This window comes from Homo sapiens, chromosome 5 (genome assembly GCF_000001405.40).
Source record: "Homo sapiens chromosome 5, GRCh38.p14 Primary Assembly".
NCBI lineage: Eukaryota > Metazoa > Chordata > Mammalia > Primates > Hominidae > Homo > Homo sapiens.
This window is the reverse complement of record NC_000005.10, coordinates 139,433,434-139,452,659: the sequence shown is the minus strand read 5'-3', so window position 1 is coordinate 139,452,659 and position 19,226 is coordinate 139,433,434. Positions and strand designations below refer to the sequence as shown.

Here is a 19,226-nt window from a genome sequence, read left to right as displayed (position 1 = left end):
CACTATGCATACACCACACACACCCCACACATCACACACCATACACACAACCCATACTATACACATGCCCCACACCCCCCACACACCCACACACCACACACACCCCACACGTCACACACCACACACACTCCATACTATACATACCTCCCCACACACATCACAAACACACCACACACTCCACACCCCACACTACACACACATACCCACCTACCACACACACCCCACGAACCACACACACCCCATACTATACACCCCTCCACACACACACCTCAAATACAGCACAGGCCTCACATCACACACACCACACCCCACACACATATCACACACACACACCCCATACTATACACACACACACACCACAAACCTACCACACACCCCACACCCCACACTATACACATATACCCACACACCCCACACATCATACACACACACCCCTACACACCACACACCACACATCCCACACCCCACACTACTCACACATACCCATATACTACACACACACCCCACGCACATCCACATACCACACACACCCCATACTATACACACACACCCCATGCACATCCACATACCACACACATCCCATACTATACACACACCCCCACATACACCACAAACACACAACATATCCCATACCCCACACTACACACACACCCACACACCACATACACCCCATGCACCACACATACACCCTATACTATACACACATCCCACATACATCATAAACACACAACATGCCCCATACACCACACATCCACAGCACAAACACACACACCCCACACCCTATACTACACACACACGACATACATACATCCTATACTACACATGCACCCCATACCCTATACCCTACACACCCACCCACACCATACCCACCCTCATACCCATACTATACACACCCACCCTCCCCACACACATACCCCACACACCCACCCAAACCACACACACACCACAAACACACCACGCATACCCACATCACACACCCCACACCCCATACCCAACATATCCACCCAAACAACATACATACACCACACACCCACACACCACACACATCCCCCCATACCATACACACAGACACCACACACACACCACACCACACACACACACCCCGTACCCTATACTACACACACACCACACACTTCATACTATACACACTCACACCACACACCCACCCAAACCACACACATCACACACAGACACCCCGTACCTCATACTACACACATACCTCATACTACACACACACCACACACCCAACCAAACCACACACACACCACAAACCCACACACCACATAAAAAACACATATGTACCCCATATTATACATACACACAACATATACACCTTACACCACACACACCACACATACACACTCCCCCACACATCACATACATGACACATAACACTCCCATACCATACACACACACCCCACACACCCCATACCACACACACACCCCATACCACACACACCCCACACCACATACACACACACCACACATGCATTACACCACACACACACACACAACACCTCACACCACATACCCCATACCACACATATACACCCCTCACACCACACACACATACCACACACATACAATCCTGACAGGCTCCTCTGAGGCCAGGGCTGGGGTGGGCAGGACAGGGGCAGACCTGAAAGGGAACAATCAAATGACAGGAGATGGACTGAAACTCTTCAACACCAGGGCTAACCCTCTATAACCCCATCATGAAAAGTGTAGGAATTCAGATTCTAATATAAAAAGACATTATCTCTAAGCTTAGGAACCACTTATTGAATACTTCTTATGTGCCGAACACAATGGTATATATTTTATAATATTATCTCAAATCTTTATAGCAATTATTCAAGGTATATATTACTTTTTTTTTTTTTTGACATGGAGTCTTGCTCTGTTGCCTGGGCTGGAGTGCAGTGGTACAATCTCAGCTCACTGCAACCTCCGCCTCCCAGGTTCAAGTGATTCTCCTGCCTCAGCCTCCCGAGTAGCTGGGACTACAGGCATGAGCCACCACACCCAACTAATTTTTGTATTTTTAGTAGAGACAGGGTTTCACCATGTTGACCAGGCTGGTCTCGAACTCCTGACCTTGTGATCCACCCACCTCAGCCTCCCAAAGCGCTGGGATTACAGGCATGAGCCACCATGCCCAGCCTTTTTTTTTTTTTTTTTAAGGGACAGGCTTGCTCTGTTGCCCAGGCTGGAGTGCAGTGATGCCAACAGGGCTCAAATGATCCTCCCACCTCAGCCTGTCAAGTAGCTGGGACTACAGGCATGTGCCACCATGCCCAGCTAATTTTTAATTTTTTTAATAGATATAAGATGTCACTATGTTGGCCAGGCTGGTCTCAAACTCCTGGTCTCAAGTGATCCTTCTGCCTCAGCCTCCCAAAATGCTGGGATTATAGGTGTAAGCCGAGACATTACTCCATTATACATTTTAAAAATTGAGGCTTTAGGCCAGGCGCGGTGGCTCATGCCTGTAATCTCAGCACTTTGGGAGGCCAAGGTGGGTGGATCACGAGGTCAGGAGTTCAAGACCAGCCTGGTCAAAATGTTGAAACCCAGTCTCTACTAAAAATACAAAAATTAGCTGGGCACGGTGGCAGGTGCCTATAATCCCAGCTACTCGGGAAGCTGAGGCAGGAGAATTGCTTGAACCCAGAGGCGGAGGTTGCAGTGAGCTGAGATGGTGCCACTGCACTCCAGCCTGGGTGACAGAGCAAGACTCCGTTTCAAGGGGAAAAAAAAAAAATTGAGGCTTTAGCGGATGCGATGGCTCACACCTGTAATCTCAGTACTTTGGGACGCTGAGGCAGGTAGATTGTGTGAGCTCAGGGGGTCAAGGCTGCAGTGAGCTGTGATCGTGCCACAGCACTCCAGTCTGGGTGACAGAGCAAGACCCTCTCAATAAAAACTAAAAAAATAAAATTGAGGCTTTAATAGAGGTTGTAACTTGGTAAAGATCAAACAAGTAGTAGGTAGTAAAACCAAAATTTAAATGCAAGTCTTGGCCAGGTGCAGTGGCTCACACCTGTAATCCCAGCACTTCGGGAGGCCAAGATGGCTGGATCATTTGAGGTCAGGCATTCAAGACCAGCCTGGCCAACATGGTAAAATCCTGTCTCTACTAAAAAATACAAAAATTAGCCGGGCATGGTGGCACGTGCTTGTAATCCCAGCTACTCAGGAGGCTGAGGCAGGAGAATCGCTTGAACCCGAGAGGTGGAGGTTGCAGTGAACTGAGATTGCACCATTGCACTCCAGCCTGGGCGACAGAGCGAGACTCCATCTCTAAATAAATAAATAAATGCAGTCTTTCGGTCTTCAAAGCACACTCGCATTTCATCATGATCCACCACCAAAATATAGATTTTTTGAGACAAAGGTCTAAGGCTCAACAACCTCACAGTTCCTTGACTCCCCATTGCCCTGCCCTCCTCCTCTCTTTAACCCAGACCCCCTTCCTCCCCCAGCTGCTCCACAGCCAATGGAGAGAAAGACAGCATCACCCTTATCTCCATGAAGAACATCAACATGAATAATGGCAAACAAAGTCTCTCAGCAGAGAAGGTACATTTTTCTGTTTCCTGCCTTCCTTCCCCAAATTCACCTTTCCCTTCCTCCTCCTACTTTCAGGCCAGAAAGGAGATACTTTCAAAGACTCTGGCTTTTCTCCCCTCTTCTGTACCCTGCCAATCCTAAAAAGTTCACCCTTCCCCATTATGCATTTATTTTGCAGGTTCTTTAAAAGCAACTTTGGGTCCCCATGAGTCCAAGGATGATGCAGCTGCCCTGTGACTACAAGGAGGAAGAGATGGAATTAGTAGAGGCAATGAACCACATGTAAATTATTTTATTGTTTCATGTCTGCTTCTAGATCTAAAGGACACTAGCATTGCCCCAGATCTGGGAGCAAGCTACCAACAGGGGAGACTCTTTCCTGTATGGACAGCTGCTGTGGAAATACTGCCTGCTTCTCCCACCTCCTCAGAGCCACAGGAAAGAGGAGGTGACAGAGAGAGAGCAAGGAAAGTGATGAGGTGGATTGATACTTTCTACTTTGCATTAAAATTATTTTCTAGCCTGCAGTCTAATTACTTTTAAGGTCTATGCTCCCATGCACATTTCTTAACAGTATGTTCTAGCAGCTTTTGGGCCTTGTTTCCTAGAACAGACATACATGCAGGTTTCTGCCCCTATGGGCAGCTCTTTGAGAAACTTGGATGGTCGATAGAAGGGACTTTGTGTCAGGTTTTATCAAGTTCACCTGGGTTTTGTTGTTGTTGCTTTTGTTTTTTTTTCTTGAGATGGAGTCTCACTCTGTCTCCCAGGCTGGAGTGCAGTGGCGTGATCTTGGCTCACCACAACCTCTGCCTCCCGAGGGTTCAAGTGGTTCTCCTGGTTCAGCCTCCTAAATAGCTGGAGCTACAGGCGTGTGCCATCATGCCTGGCTAATTTTTGTATTTTTTTAGTAGCAACAGGGTTTTACCATGTTGGTCATGTTGGTCTCGAACTCCTGACCTCAAGTGATCCACCCGCCTCGGCCTCCCAAACTGCTGGGATTACAGGTGTGACCCACCACACCCAGCCATTGTTTCCCCCTCGCCCCCTTCTTCTTCTTCTTTATACTAGCCTTGCTAAAGCAAAGGCTCAAAAAATTAGCTAAAAACTCAAAAACTCTCCACAGGAATCTTTAGTAAAAGGTGAAAGATTTATATGATCTGAAGAGAAACCAGAGTATCACCTGGTTTATTTTTATTAGTAGGGTTGAGGCGACTGACTAACCACTCCAATAGAGGAGAGAAACAAGGGGCTGTAAACAGTGACCAGTCGTCACCAAGAAAGAAGTTTTGACTAGGAAACTTCTTAGGGAAGTTCCTAAGTCACCTCTTGGGGAGAGGTGAATGAGAAAAGGGCAAATGTCCTCTGCCTGCCCCTGGGTAGACATGCATCACTTTGGTCTTAGCTATGGGATGAACCCTGGGAAGGTTTGCGGTGAAGATAGGTCTGTGACTTCATCAACACAAACCCCACCCACTTTACCCCATACAACAGTTATCTTGTGTCCAAATATAGAATAAAAGATTGTAGAAGTACTGGAAAGTCATTTAAAGAGAAGGAGGAAAAGAAAGGAGGTGTCTGCTTTCTTAGTCTTAGTCATGTTTACCATGACACTAGTCTGGAAATGAATCTTGGGGAAAATCAAGGGAGGAGTCATCCATGTGTGTCTTTCGGGAGTATTTAACTTAATTGGCAATTTGGAACATAGGGAGAACACAGCTTACTCATTCTGAAGCAACAATATGCTATTTTTTCCTGATTCAGACTTCTCAAGGTGATGAGAGAGACAGGCTAGAACAACAAGTTTCATCCCCTCTGTCTCATTAAAATTATTAAAATGAGACTGTAGAAACCGAGTGAGCAGGGCGTAGTGGCACATGCCTGTAATCCCAGCACTCTGGGAGGCCAAGGTTCCAGAGGATCGCTTGAGGCAGGAGTTCAAGACAAGTGTATTAGACCATTTTCACACTGCTATAAAGAAATACTGGGTAATTATAAGGAAAGAGGTTTAGTAGACTCAGTTCTGCATGGCTGGGGAGGCCTCAGGAAACTTACAATCATGATGGAAGGGGAAGCAGGCACCTTCTTCACAAGGCAACAGGAGAGAGAGTGAGCAAGATCAGGAAAAACTGCCGTATAAAACTATCAGATCTCATGAGAACTCACTCACTACCATGAGAACAGCATGGAGGAAACCACTCCCTTTATCCAATCACCACCCACCTGATCCCTCCCTCGACATTTGGGGGTTATGGGGATTACAATTCAAGATGAGATTTTGGTGGAGACACAGAACCAAACCATATCAACCAGGCTGGGCAACATGGCAAGCCCTTGTCTGTACAAAAAAATACAAAAATTAGCAGGGTGTGGTGGCACATACCTGTGGTCCCAGCTACTCAGGAGGCTGGGGATCACTTGCTTCTGGGAGGTAGAGGCTGCAGTGAGCCATGGTTGATTGCACCACTCTCCTCCAGCCTGGGTGACAGGGTAAGATGTGAAAGAAAGAAAACAAAGGAAGAGAAAAGAGAAAGAAAGAAAGAAAGAAAGAAAGAAAGAAAGAAAGAAAGAAAGAAAGAAAGAAAGAAAGAAAGAAAGAAAGAAAGAAAGAAAGAAAGAAAAGGAAGGAAGGAAGGAAGGAAGGAGAAAGAAAGAAAAGGAAAGAAAGAGAGGGAAAGAAAGAAAAAGGGAGGAAGGGAGGGAGGAAGGGAGGAAGGGAAGGAAGGAAGGAAGGAAAAAAAGAAAAGGAGAAGAGAAGAGAACTTACTGTATTCTAAAATCCCCTAGGACAGGGCCTGTAACCTGCCCATGTCTGTAGCTCCTGCATGACACACTGTGCCCAGCACTTCCTAGGTAATCTAAACTGGCTCTTGGGTGAAGGAAATCTGATCATAAGATTGGGCTCTGCCACAGACTTTGGGTGCAATTGTCCCCCTCCTCCAAGCCTGTTCTCTTATATCTTTACTTTTTTTTTTTTTTTGTACCACTGCTGGAGTGCAGTGGTACAATCGTGGCTCACTGCAGCCTTGAGTTCCTGAGCTCAACCAATCCTACCTCAGCCTTCTAAGTAACTGGGACTCTTGGCATGAGCCACTGCACCTAGCTAATTTTTAAAAATTTTTTGTAGAGACAAGCTCTTGCCGTGTTGGCCAGGCCAGTCTCAAACTCCTGAGCTCAAGTGATCCTCTTGCCCTGACTTCCCAAAGTGCTAGGATTACAGGCATGAGCCACCATGCCTGGCGGGTTTTAAAGTGAGCTGGCTGGACGACTTGGCCTTCACTATCTTTTCTCATTCTTACATTCCACAGTTCTATAGACTCTGGACGTAGGAAAAAATGAATACAATGTGCTAAGTAGAGATCACTCTGGGTGAGAGCCAGAGACAAGTTGCAGGCAGCTCTGGACAAGCCTTTCACATTCTCAGGAGTTCCATTTCTCCTGTGTATTAACAGGGAAGAATGCGCCCTACCTGGCCCTGGCTACCTCACAGGCTAGTGGCTAGGTAAAATGGGATAATAAACATGGAGATACTTGGGAAGTGAGCAATTGTAGCAGACAGCTTGGAGTAGGGCACCAGCACCCAGGTCCCACTTCAGGATCAAGGCGCTTGTTCCCCAGCTGTGGGATTGTTGGCTGGTTGATGATTGGCTGATGGGGGCTAAGAGTGGGAATGAAGACCTGGACCCCTTGCCTCAATTCCTTTGCCCCCATTCCTACTTCCCTTACTCCTCATAGCTGTTGTTCCAGGGGTGCTCACTAAGAAACCTTTAGTATGCAAATCTCAGCGTCTCAGAGTCTATTTTGTGGGGTACCTAACCTACGAAAGCAATACTGCAGTATTTTTTGAGGGGAGAGAAGACAGGGTCTGGCTCTGCCTCCCAGGCTGGAGTGCAGTGGCATGGCACAATGATAGCTCACTGCAACATCAAACTCCTGGGCTCAAATGATCCTTCTGCCTCAGCCTCCCAAGTAGCTGGGACTATAGACGTGTGCCACCACAACCGGCTAATTTATTTAAATTTTTTGTAGAAATGAGGTCCTGCTACGTTGCTCAGGCTGGTTACAAACTACTGGGCTCAAGACATCCTCCCCCCTCAGCCTCCCGAAGTGCTGGGATTATAGGTGTGAGCCATCACACCTGGTTAGTTGTTTGTTTTTTGTTTTTTGTTTTTTGAGGTGGAGTTTCACACTTGTTGCCAGGCTGGAGTGCAATGGCACGATCTCCACTCGCTGCAACCTCTGCCTCCCAGGTTCAAGTGATTCTCCTGCCTCAGCCTCCTGAGTAGCTGGGATTACAGGTACCCACCACCACGCCTGGCTAATTTTGTATTTTTAGTAGAGATGGGATTTCACCATATTGGGCAGGCTGGTGTCGAACTCCTGACCTCAGGTGATCCGGCCACCTCAGCCTTCCAAAGTTGTGGGATTACAGGTGTGAGCCACCATGCCCGGCCTTGGCTAGTATTTTTTAAATAATTCATATATATTTGATTTAAATCTCACAGCCAACAGCACATGACTTAGTAGCCACTTCTGGTCCAACATCCACCATTGGGATGGAACCCCTCAGGTGACATAACAATGTCTAGGATTCTGTTTGTGCTGTTGTTATTCTGCCTGCCATGGGCACTGAGTACAGCTGCTCATCATACTGGACTAATCAGGTCAAGGACATGGGGCTTCATTCTAAGTAACTCAGCTGTCATCTTCATTATAAAACCACACATTTTCCTCTGACTCTGGGCAATGACCTGCGTATATAAGCTGTTAGTCATAAGGTATTTATATGTGGGGGAAGAGGGAGACAACTGGTATTAATAATCTTTGAGATTGAAAGGCTTTTACCCTGACACTGACACCGCAGTACCACATAAGCCATGTGGATTTTCCTGTTGCTAAGTAACTCTATCCTTTGGGAAGGGGTTGAGGATGAATTAAATGCTGAATTCTGCTCTGGAGCAAACTCTAATAGAGAGGTTTCTCCTGGAGGAGCCTACTATTTATGCAAATCCAAGATGCCACCTCTGACAGGAAATCTGAGTGCAGCCTTCTGCAGCCCTTGCAGCTTCCTTGAAACCCTATCTCTTCCTTCATGTCTAGACAACAGGATGATGATTGTTTACAAGATGACTTCCTCCCTTTTCTCACACAGGACTACGTGGTCCTTAAACAGGAACAGGTGGCGGGGATTGGGGGCTAGCTGCAGAATGTCCTTCTCTCATTTTTTCCCTCATCCTATGGGAGGGCAACCAATAAACCAGCACAGACACACAGGCCCAGTGGGACAGGAGGATCATTTACTCAGCTTCTTTCTTCTAGGGCTGGATGGGGCAGCATCTCAATCATATAGGGCACAGGACAGACCTCAGTATCACCAGCAAGAATCCATTACAGTTCAACATGTAAGTAAGTGGAGGCGCCTTAATCCCAACACTTGGGAAGTCCCCGGGGGCAGGATTGCTTGAACCCAGGAGTTCCAGACCAGCCTGGGTAATATAGTGAGATCCCATATCTTAAAAACAAACAAAAAAAAAGCCAGGCATAGTGGGCATAGTGGCATGTGCCTGTGGTCCCAGCTACTCAGGAGGCTGAGGTGGGAGGATCGCTTGAGCCCAAGAGATCAAGGCTACAGTGAGTTGTGATAGCGCCACTGCACTCCAGCCCGTGTAACAGAATAAGACCCTGTCTCAAAAAAATAAAGTAAGTGGAGAAAACTGAGAGAAATCTGAGGCTGGCCCTAAGGTAAAATGGTTTAGCAGATGAAGGATCATTGCAGGCCCCCTTGACCTAGTTCTGGCACACAATTTCCCCAAGCCCAGCTAGTACTACTCTATTAAATTTGAATGTGCTGGAAAACACTGTGTGATTCTGTCCACCAGTCTTTTCCTGGGTTTGTGGATGTCCTCCTTTCTCTCTTCGTCAAACTTCTTTCCACATCTACCTCCTTCTCTTTGAGAACTGCCTTGGAGACCCCAATTTCTCTTCCCTTATCTCCTTCCCAGTTACCCTCTCACTTTTCCTGTGGGTCCTTTTCGACTGGCATCTCCATCCTATACTCTTTGGGCCCACAGCTTCCTCTTTTACAAAACACAGAAATTGAACTTTACAGTGAGGATTATTTTTGCTGACTAGTTGATGAGTTTAAGCAAAAACTGTCACAGAAGTATTCTTAATGTTGAGCTTTAGAGTTTCGCGTTAGTCCAAGTGATGCGATCATAAAAAAAAAATTCATCCAGAAGTGTTAGTTGAGGTGTAAACAAACTGAAGAATACATGTGGATACTTGGCAATATTTGAGAAGGTCATAATGCTAAACCATTTTTGTTACTGTTCTAGAAGTAAATGAAAAGAAGTCTGGAAAAGAAGGGGATGTAAGGTTTCAGAGCATGAGGAGAGAGGATGCTTAGCTACCAGACAGCAGCTAAGATTTGGGAAGAGGCCCCAGCTTCCCAAATCTTGTCCAATACTCTTGAACCTAGGCTCTGCTCCTAGATAGTCTCATAATTCATAGTTGCTCCTCTCAATCCAGTTAACCCCTACAGTGCTCTAACAGCCCACTCTCAGCCAAACACCTCTGACTTCATGGTATTCTAACATCTCCAGGTAGTACCTCCAGACCTTTTCCCTGTGCCCCTGGACTCCAAGGTCTATCCCACCCTCAGCTGTCCATCTTCTAGAGCAGGCGGTCTAGCCTCCCCAAACCAGAAGAACTTCCTTTTTATATTCAACCACCTGATGGATGTCCCTGATCAGTTCCCTCAGCTGCAGAGCACAAGAAGGACCTTCAGGATCCAGCTTTCTGTGAGTACACTGCTCCGTGGATTAGTTAGCTGGTCATAGGTCCAGTGTCCTAGAGCTGAGCTTTTGACTCATCTCATGGTTCTGGGGCCTCCTTTGCCTCTCAAGTTTAAGGACATCCATAATTCATTGGATTTAGGATGACCCAAAACCTTCTCATACTAGTTCACTTTTGCCATCTTCTTCTGTTTCTGAAAGGGAGAAAATCACCAGTTTTAGTGGCTGGATTCAGGGGTTAGGGTACATGGACAAGCAACTTCCCAGCCCTTTTTGGTAGTGTTTTGCTTCTTGTCTTATTTGCAGGTAATGATTGCCAGATAGACAGGAATGGGGTCCAGTTAGTTATATCCAGGACCTTATGATATACCCCATATATACCCCTTTGCTCCTAATTTACAATGTCAAACTATAAAAAATGGTTTCTCTTCCTCTGAGCCAGTCTATAACAGTGGTCAGCATTTATTAAACACATACTACATGCCAGATGAGGTGCTAAAAGCTTTGCAAGCATTATCTTACTATATCCTACGGCAATCCTATGCAGATTTTTTAACCACTATGCTAAATTCCTCCTCCTAAATTAAGTGAAAATGACCAAATTTCTAGACAACTGTTACTTTCTCAGTGCTTATGGGGGTGGGGATGAGGGAAGAACACTGACTTTAAGTGCTCCAGGAGAAACTGATATTACAAATGACACAAGCCTTTAGTGGTCAACTGGTTTGGTAGTTTTCAAACATGTAGGTTTTCTTTCCTTTAGTAGACCACAAAATACAAAACAGAAAAAAACAGAGCTTCTTTGATTGAAGAAGGGTGAGGTGCTAGTGCCTTCCCTGCTATGCCTTCCTCCCCGCTCCCACTCCTCAATAGAAGATTCCAGAGACATCTGCACATTAAGCCTTAAGGATTCCTCAATTTAAAAACCGCTAATTGAGGCCGGGTGCGGTGGCTCACGCCTGTAATCACACCACTTTGGGAGGCTGAGGCGGGCAGATCACAAGGTCAGGAGATTGAGGCCATCTTGGCCAACATAGTGAAATCCCGTCTCTACCAAAAATACAAAAATTAGCTGGGCATGGTGGCGTGCGACTGTAGTCCCGGCTACTCGGGAGGCTGATGCAGGAGAATCGCTTGAACCAGGGAGTCAGAGGTTGCAGTGAGCCGAGATTATGCCACTACACTCCAGCCTGGCGACAGAGTAAGACTCTGTCTCAAAAAGCAAACAAACAAAACTACTAATTGAATCCAACCTTCTCGTTTTATAGGTGATGAGACTGAGGCCAAAGAAGAAGGAAAAAGGAGATGTTCAGGATCACGCAATGATTTGTGGCAAAACCCCAGCTATTAATATAACACCTATACAACTTCTAGACCAGTGCTTTTTCCACTTGAAAGGCCTTGTTATCTGAGTTTTGTTTTTTGTTTTTTTTCTGAGACAGAGTCTCACTCTGTCACCCAGGCTGGAGTGCAGTGACGCGATCTTGGCTCACTACAACCTCCGCCCCCTGGGTTCAAGCGATTCTCCTGCCTCAGCCTCCCTCCCGAGCAGCTGGGACTACAGGCACACGCCACCATGCCCAGCTAATTTTTGTATTTTTGGTAGAGACGGGGTTTCACCATGTTGGTCAGAATGGTCTCGATCTCCTGACCTCGCGATCCGCCTGCCGCGGCCTCCCAAAGTGTTGGGATTACAGGCATAAGCCACCGCGCCCGGCCGTTCTCTGAGTTCTTAAGTGGGCATAATGTCAGTGATGCCAGGGCCATGACTGTAGGCAAGGGCTGGAACTGCATGCCCTTTGGTGCTTTTACCCTTCCAAGTTTATGTCCAGGAATATACATCTCTCCCCAACTGCCTAAGTAGGTGCTAGTTGATATCATGATTGATTTGGTCTTCTTGGGTAAGACCTCAGTTAATTCTGGGTAATTTTTTGTTTGGGGATGAACTGTAGCCATCCACCTATGAAGAAAGTGTTGCTTTTATTCTTTGCTAGGTTCCATCCATACCTGGATGAGGAACAGCAAGAATATTTATTTCCTCATTTCCTTTTTACTAATCTCAATGTCTGGTCCTTCAGAAAAGAAACGAATGGGCTAAAGAGATAACTAGACTGGAAGAGAGGAGAAAAGTGTCAGAGGGGTGTTGGAGTAGGATGGGTTGGAGGAAGGACAGGAACAGCAAAGATGGAGGCTCTTCATGCCGGCCCCAATACCTTTCCATGTCTTCTTTCTCCACCCCGATACCCTCTGATGTCCAGTGCCTGAGGAGCTGGGGCAGTAGGGACATACTGAGATTGCCCTCCAACCCCATAAATCTACATCACTTTTCTATTTTCCTGACTCAAGCTTCCAAAGGCTGGGTTCCGCATCCCCAAAACCCATCTCTGAATCTCCAGGGCCTACCACTGACTGCACAGAACAGGCATTAGCGTATGCTTCAAAAAGACATCCCTGAGGAGCATAATAGTCATACTGTCACCCTCTAGCCTATAGTTTGCGAAGCCCTTTCCAGGCAGGACTTCAGTCGCCCCTCCTTGGATGTCCCTAGGGTTAGGCAGGGCCGAAGCCACTATCCCAACTCTACAAATGAGGAAAAGCCAAGAGCCGTGCTGCAGGCAGCTGGCAGCTGGCAGCAGCACTCTTCCACAGATCTCCTGACGAAGGTCGAGCACTTCTCTGCGTCTCCCACGGCCTCTGGCGCAGAGCCTGCCGGGAGTTGTAGTCCAGTGCCCCGGGAGCTCATATGGACTGGACTACAATGACCAGCGTGCCCCGCGCTCCGCGCCCCCTTCTCTTTCAGCCTCGGGCACGGGGGAGGCTCGGCGGACCTGCTGATTGGGAACCGATATGGCGGCGACTCTGGGCAGCGGGGAGCGCTGGACGGAAGGTACTAGGTCCCCGCCTGAAGGAGGGATAGGGCGGCCTTCGGGAGAGATCAGGGATGAGGATCCTGAAGACGCACAAGGGCTGAGATCCTGGGTCTGAGGTGATGGATAGAGGCCTGTGAAAAGATGCTGAGCCTGAGTAGGGTTGCGGATGGGGTAGGGAAGCTGGGGACCGACCGCGAGCCCAGAGTCACCGGTGACGACTTGTTGCCTCCGGCCCCCAGCCCCGCCCCCGCCCGTGCCCCGCCCAGGGCCCGCAGCTGTCAGGCCCCGCCCATGCCAAGGTGACTGGAGGGCCCGTGGGGTGCTGCGGTCTCTCCGCAGCTTGCTAACCTGGCCCTTATCTTTCGCCTAACTGGGCCACCTGACCTTCAGTCCCTGTTTGATCATGTCGCTCCAGCCGGCATCAGGACCAGCCTTTTCCACCCTACAGTCAGGCAAAAAATATTGATCCAATACCTATTGTGTGCCCCGCCTAATGCTGATTCTGCAGTGGGGATTTGACTGACATGGGTCCCTTAGCTCACAAAACTCGCAGCCCACTGAGAGAGTTTGACGACTGAACAGCCAATTACAAAACGGGCGAATAATACAAAACGCCTGGGCTACACAGCAAGGTCAGGGATTTGGAGAGCACACTTACAAGGTACCTAACGCAGACTGGCTGTCAAGGGAGGTTTCTTGCAGAAAGTGTTACAAATGGTGACAAGAAGGATGCGTCGGAGTTAGCCAGGCCGACTTAGAGGAAGACTGTCCAGGAGCAGTGGGTGGAGGTAGCTGAGGGATGTTAAGCGGAAGAAAGATGTTGTTAAAGCCTTTCTCAGGTCCTCCAGAGAAGACATGAGTGCTCTGCCCCTTTTGACTGTATTGCTTATGACCCTCTTTACATTCTGCAGGTGTTGTTATTGAATCTTCTCCCTTTAAACCAGGGGTATCCAATCTTTTGGCTTCCCTGGACCACATTGGAAGAAGAATTGTCTTGGGCCACACATAAAATACACTAACTGACGACTAAATAACTAACTGATGACAGCTAATGAACTTTAAAAAAATTGCAAAAAAAAATCTCATAATGTTCTTTTTTTTTTTTTTGAGACGGAGTCTCGCTCTATCACCCAGGCTGGAGTGCAGTAGCGCGATCTCGGCTCACTGCAACCTCCGCCTCCCGGGTTCACGCCATTCTCCTGCCTCAGCCTCCCGAGTAGCTGGGACTACAGGCGCCTGCCACCACGCCCGGCTAATTTGTTGTATTTTTAGTAGAGACGGAGTTTCACGGTGTTAGCCAGGATGGTCTCGATCTCCTGACCTCGTGATCCGCCCGCCTTGGCCTCCCAAAGTGCTGGGATTACAGGCGTGAGCCACCGCGCCCGGCCCTCATAATGTTCTAAGAAAGTTTACGAATTTGTATTGAGCTCAAAGCCGTGCTGGGCCACATGCCACCTGTGGGCCGCGGGTTGGACAAGCTTGCATTAAACTAACCTCTTTGTGGTCAGGAGTAGATCTTACCCATCCGCCCTCTTGATCTTCTAGCCAAGTTCCTTGGTATATATTAGTTCTATAATTGTTAGTGTAAAAGAATTGAACTCCTCTCTACTTTAAATTTTAGGGGTGGGAGGCACTGCAACAAAAAATACTATTTTACGAGCAGTGTCTCTTCTGACCACGGACCACAGAGAAACATGTTTATTCAGCTTTGTATGAGTGCTTAAAAGTCAGCATGACGCCTCTAGCCCTGGCCATCATGCTTACCTTCTCATGCTTACGAGCAGCCTCCCAGAGAGGAAAGGCAGGTTGCAAAGTTGATTTTCAGGGTCAGATGGAGACCTAATGGAGGGGCTGTTGTTTGCAGCTTACATTGACGCAGTTAGAAGAAACAAATACCCAGAAGACACACCTCCTGAGAGTCATGACCCCTGTGGCTGCTGTAACTGCATGAAGGCACAAAAGGAAAAGAAGTCTGAGAATGAGTGGACTCAGACCCGGCAGGGTGAGGGGAACTCCACGTATAGTGAGGAACAGCTGCTTGGGGTACAAAGGTGAGCATGTGGTGAGATTAAATGAGTGATTTTATGGAAAGTGCTTAGAAGAGTGCCTGGATGTGCTATGTAAGTATTGACTGATGATAATGATGATGATGATGATAATTGAGGCATACTAGCTTCTTGACCTCAGAGGGAAGACTGAATAGAAGTGGAATATTAGGGTATAACATGAACTGACTACCCTGCTTCTACTTTAAGAGAGGCAGCAGAAACCGACTAGACACAACACACATCTACAGGACATTCTTTCAACAACAACAGAACGATTTTCTTCTTAAGGATACATAGAATATTCTCCAGGATAGACCATATCTTAGGTCATAAAACAAGCCTCAATAAATTTAAAAAGATTGAAATCATACAGTGTATGTTCTCTGAAATCAAAAACAAAGGGAAATTTGAGAAATTCACAAATATGTGGAAATTAAACTACAAGCTCCTAATAAGCAAGCAAGTCACAGAATAAATCACTAGGAAAGCTAGAAAATGCTTTGAGATGAGTGAAAATGAAAACACGACGTACTAAAATGTATAGGATGCAGCTAAAACAGTGCTTAGAAGGAAATTTATAGCTCTAAATGCTTATTTTTTTAAAAAAGACTCCAAATCAGTAACCTAATCTACCTTAAGGAACTAGACAGCCTGGACAATACAGTGAAACCCCCTCTCTTCCAAAAAATATATATATACAAAAATTAGCTTGGTATGATGGCACCAACCTGTAGTCCCAGCTACTTGAGAGGCTGAGGCAGGAGGATTGCTTGAACCCAGTAGGTTGAAGCTACAGTGAGTCATAATCGCACAGCAGAGCAAGACCCTGTCTCTCAAAAAAAAAAAAAAAAAAAAAAAAGAAAGAGGGATATCCCTACCAATCCAAATACTATGAACAATTGTGTGCCAACAAATTAGATAACCTAGATAAAATCAGCAAATGCCTAGAAAGACACAAATTACTGAAACTGACCCAAGAAAAATGGAGGCCAGGCATGGTGGGTCACACCTGTAATCCCAGAGCTTTGGGGGTGCTGAGGCAGGAGGATTGCTTGAGACCAGGAGTTTGAGACCAGCCTGGGCAACACAGCAATACATTATCTCTAAAAAAAGAAAAAAAAAATACTTGGGCATGGTGGCACATGCCTGTGGTCCCAGCTACTTTGGAGACTGAAGCAGGAGAATCACTTGAGCCTAGGAATCTGAGGTTACAGTAAGCTATGGTAGTGCCACTGCATTGCAGCTTCGGTGACAGAGACCTTATTTCCAAAAAAGAAAAAGAAAAAAAAAAGGAAAACCCAAGTAGACCTACAACAAATAAGGTGATTTAATTAACAATCAAAAAAATTCTAGCTGGACATGGTGACTCATGCCTGTAATCCCATTACTTTGGGAGGCTGAGGTGGGAGGATCACTTGAGCCCAGGAGTTCAAGACCAGCCTGGCCAACATGGCGAAACTTCATTAGTACAATAAAAAACAAACAAAAAGACCCCACAAAAATTAGCCGAGCATGGTGGTGCACACCTGCAGTTCCAGCTGCTCAGGAGGCTGAGGTAGGAGGATTGATGGAGCCAGGAAGGGCGAGGCTACAGTGAGCACCACTGCACTCTAGTCTGGGTGACAGAGGGAGACCTTGTCTGAAAAAAAAAAAAAAAAAAAAAAAAAAACTTCCAATGAAGAAAAGTCCAGGCCCAGCTGGCTTCATTCTTTGAGACCAGTATTAACTCTGTAACCAAAACCAGACAAAAATATCATAAGAAGTCTAAATTATCAACCAATATCCCTTATGGATATAGATTTTAAAATATTCAATAAAATACTAGTAAAACAAATACAGCAATGTAAAAAGTATTATATATTTTCACCAAGTGGGATTTATCCCAGTATTGCAGGATTGTTTAACACACACAAGTCAATCAATGTAACATACCATGTTAATAGAATAAAGGACAAAAATCACACGATCATTTCAATAGGTACAGAAAAAGCATTTAACAAAATCCAACACTCTTTTTTTTTTGAGACGGATTCTTGCTCTGTCACCCAGGCTGGAGTGCAATGCCACGATCTCGGCTCACTGCAACCCCTGCCTCCCAGGTTCAAGCGATTCTCTGGCCTCAGCTTCCTGAGTAGCTGTGACTACAGACGCGCACCACCATGCCTAGCTAATTTTTGTATTTTTAGTAGAGACGGGGTTTCACCATGTTGGCCAGGATGGTCTCGTGACCTTGTGATCTGCCCGCCTCGGCCTCCCAAAGTGCTGGGATTACAGGTGTGAGCCACTGCGCCCAGCCCCAACACTCTTTCATAATAAAAACACTTAACTAGGAATAGAAGGGAACTTCCTCGACCTGATAAAGTCCATCTACAGAAATCCACAGTTAACATCATACTTAAAGGTGAACAACTAGGTGTTTTCCCACCAAGATCAGGAACAAGACAAGTATGTCTGTTCACTCTTGCCACTCTGTTCAACATTGTACTAGAGGGTCAAGCCAGGGCATTTAAGCAAGAAAAAGAAATAAAAGCCATCCAAATTGGAAAGAAGAGTAAAACTACATCCACAGATGACATGATCTTGTAAATGGAAAATCCTAATGAATACACACACACACACACACACAAATACTGTTAGAACTAATAAACAAGTTGGACAAAGTTACAGGATATAAGATCAATATACAAAAATTATCATTTTTCTATATACTAGCAATGAACAATAAAAAAATGAAATTAAGAAAATATAGTTGAGGCTGGGTGTGGTGGCTCATGCCTGTAATTCAAAACTTTGGGAGGCTGAGATAGGAGGATCTCTTGAAGCTAGGAGTTCAAGACGAGCCTGAGCGACATAGCGAGGCCCTGTCTCTACTAAAAATAAAAATTTAGCCAGGTGTGGTGGCATGCACCCAAAATCCCAGCTACTCAGAAGGCTGAGGTAGGTGGATCCCTTGAGCCCAGGAGTTCGAGGCTGAGGTGAGCTATGATCACCCTACTGCAATCCAGCCTGGGTGACAAAGCAAGACCCTGTCTCTATATACAAATAAATAAATAAATAGTTTTAAAAAAGAGATACAGTTGGCCTTTGAACAACACAGGTTTGAGTGGCATCAGTTTGAACCATGGATTTTTATATGTCAATTTTAAAAGATAAATACATTGGAAAAATTTTTTAGATTTGCAACAATTTGAAAAAGTGGCTCACATCTGTAATCTCAGCACTTTAGGAGGCCAAGGCAGGAAGAATACTTGGGCTCAGAAGTTTGAGACCAGCCTGGGCAACACGGCAAAACTCCGTCTCTACTAAAAATACAAAACTAGTCAGGCGTGGTGGCGCACACCTGTAATCCCAGCTACTTGGGAGGCTGAGGCGGGAGAATTGTTTGAACCCAGAAGGCAGAGGTTGCAGTGAGCTGTGATTGTGCCATTGCACTCCAGCCTGGGCAACAAGAGCGAAACTCTGTCTCAAATAATAATCATCATCATCACCATCTCACAAACCATGGAGCATGGACATACCAAAAAATTAAGAAAATTATATGAATGCATAAAATATATCTAGATTCTAGTCTATTTTATCATTTACTATCATAAAATATACACAAATCTATTATAAAAAGTGAAAATCTATCAAAACATATGCTCACAAACACTTGAGACTACATGGTACCATTTGCATTTGAGAAAAATGTAAACATACAGGTGCAGTATTAATCACACCTGCATAAAATTAACAGTAGTACTGTACTACTGTAATAATTTTGTAGTTAGCTCCTGTTATTTTGCTGAGCCTCAAGTATTGGGAGTATCTGCTTAAAATGCCACATGATGCTAATCATCTCTTTGTGAGCAGTTTGTCTCTTGAGTAAATTATGTATAGCAGTAAAAAGTGATCTCTTGCAGTTCTCCAGTTTTGTTTTTTTTTTTTTTTGAGATGGAGTT

At 45.9% G+C, this 19,226-nt stretch overlaps 2 protein-coding genes and 1 pseudogene across 4 annotated transcripts in view, besides 4 other annotated features; 2 read left to right on the top strand and 1 right to left on the bottom strand.

The window, feature by feature from the left end:
* The window catches only part of ECSCR (endothelial cell surface expressed chemotaxis and apoptosis regulator), a 14,184-nt gene extending 10,084 nt beyond the window's left edge, over window positions 1-4,100 (top strand). For 2 of the 3 annotated variants that reach the window (NR_121659.2, NM_001293739.2), the window contains 2 exons: window positions 3,486-3,582; window positions 3,890-4,100. Coding sequence is in view for 2 of the 3 variants with exons in the window: in NM_001293739.2 (NP_001280668.1) it covers window positions 3,486-3,582; window positions 3,890-3,895 (103 nt within the window). In the remaining variant the exon portion in view is untranslated. Of the gene's footprint in view, window positions 1-3,485; window positions 3,583-3,751 lie in introns of all 3 variants that reach the window. The other variant, NM_001077693.4, reaches the window with a different exon arrangement.
* RNU5B-4P (RNA, U5B small nuclear 4, pseudogene) lies at window positions 4,642-4,753 on the bottom strand (annotated as a pseudogene).
* Window positions 5,112-5,191: an enhancer, noted in NCBI's record as "active region_23232". NCBI's record gives its function as "activates an Ori minimal core promoter by ATAC-STARR-seq in GM12878 lymphoblastoid cells {active_cell/tissue: GM12878}" and the evidence as "EXISTENCE:reporter gene assay evidence [ECO:0000049][PMID:35858748]".
* Window positions 12,765-13,264: an enhancer, noted in NCBI's record as "H3K27ac hESC enhancer chr5:138775085-138775584 (GRCh37/hg19 assembly coordinates)". NCBI's record gives its function as "activates a minimal SCP1, AML or CMV promoter by ChIP-STARR-seq in naive H9 embryonic stem cells {active_cell/tissue: H9 hESC(naive)}" and the evidence as "EXISTENCE:reporter gene assay evidence [ECO:0000049][PMID:30033119]".
* DNAJC18 (DnaJ heat shock protein family (Hsp40) member C18) overlaps window positions 13,135-19,226 on the top strand; it is a 29,323-nt gene continuing 23,231 nt past the window's right edge. Inside the window, exons 1-2 of the mRNA NM_152686.4 lie at window positions 13,135-13,254; window positions 15,102-15,288. Of these exons, the coding sequence (NP_689899.1) occupies window positions 13,215-13,254; window positions 15,102-15,288 (227 nt within the window). The 5' untranslated portion in view covers window positions 13,135-13,214. The remainder of the gene's footprint in view (window positions 13,255-15,101; window positions 15,289-19,226) is intronic.
* Window positions 13,468-13,577: a silencer, noted in NCBI's record as "silent region_16413". NCBI's record gives its function as "represses an Ori minimal core promoter by ATAC-STARR-seq in GM12878 lymphoblastoid cells {active_cell/tissue: GM12878}" and the evidence as "EXISTENCE:reporter gene assay evidence [ECO:0000049][PMID:35858748]".
* Window positions 14,565-15,065: an enhancer, noted in NCBI's record as "H3K4me1 hESC enhancer chr5:138773284-138773784 (GRCh37/hg19 assembly coordinates)". NCBI's record gives its function as "activates a minimal SCP1, AML or CMV promoter by ChIP-STARR-seq in naive H9 embryonic stem cells {active_cell/tissue: H9 hESC(naive)}" and the evidence as "EXISTENCE:reporter gene assay evidence [ECO:0000049][PMID:30033119]".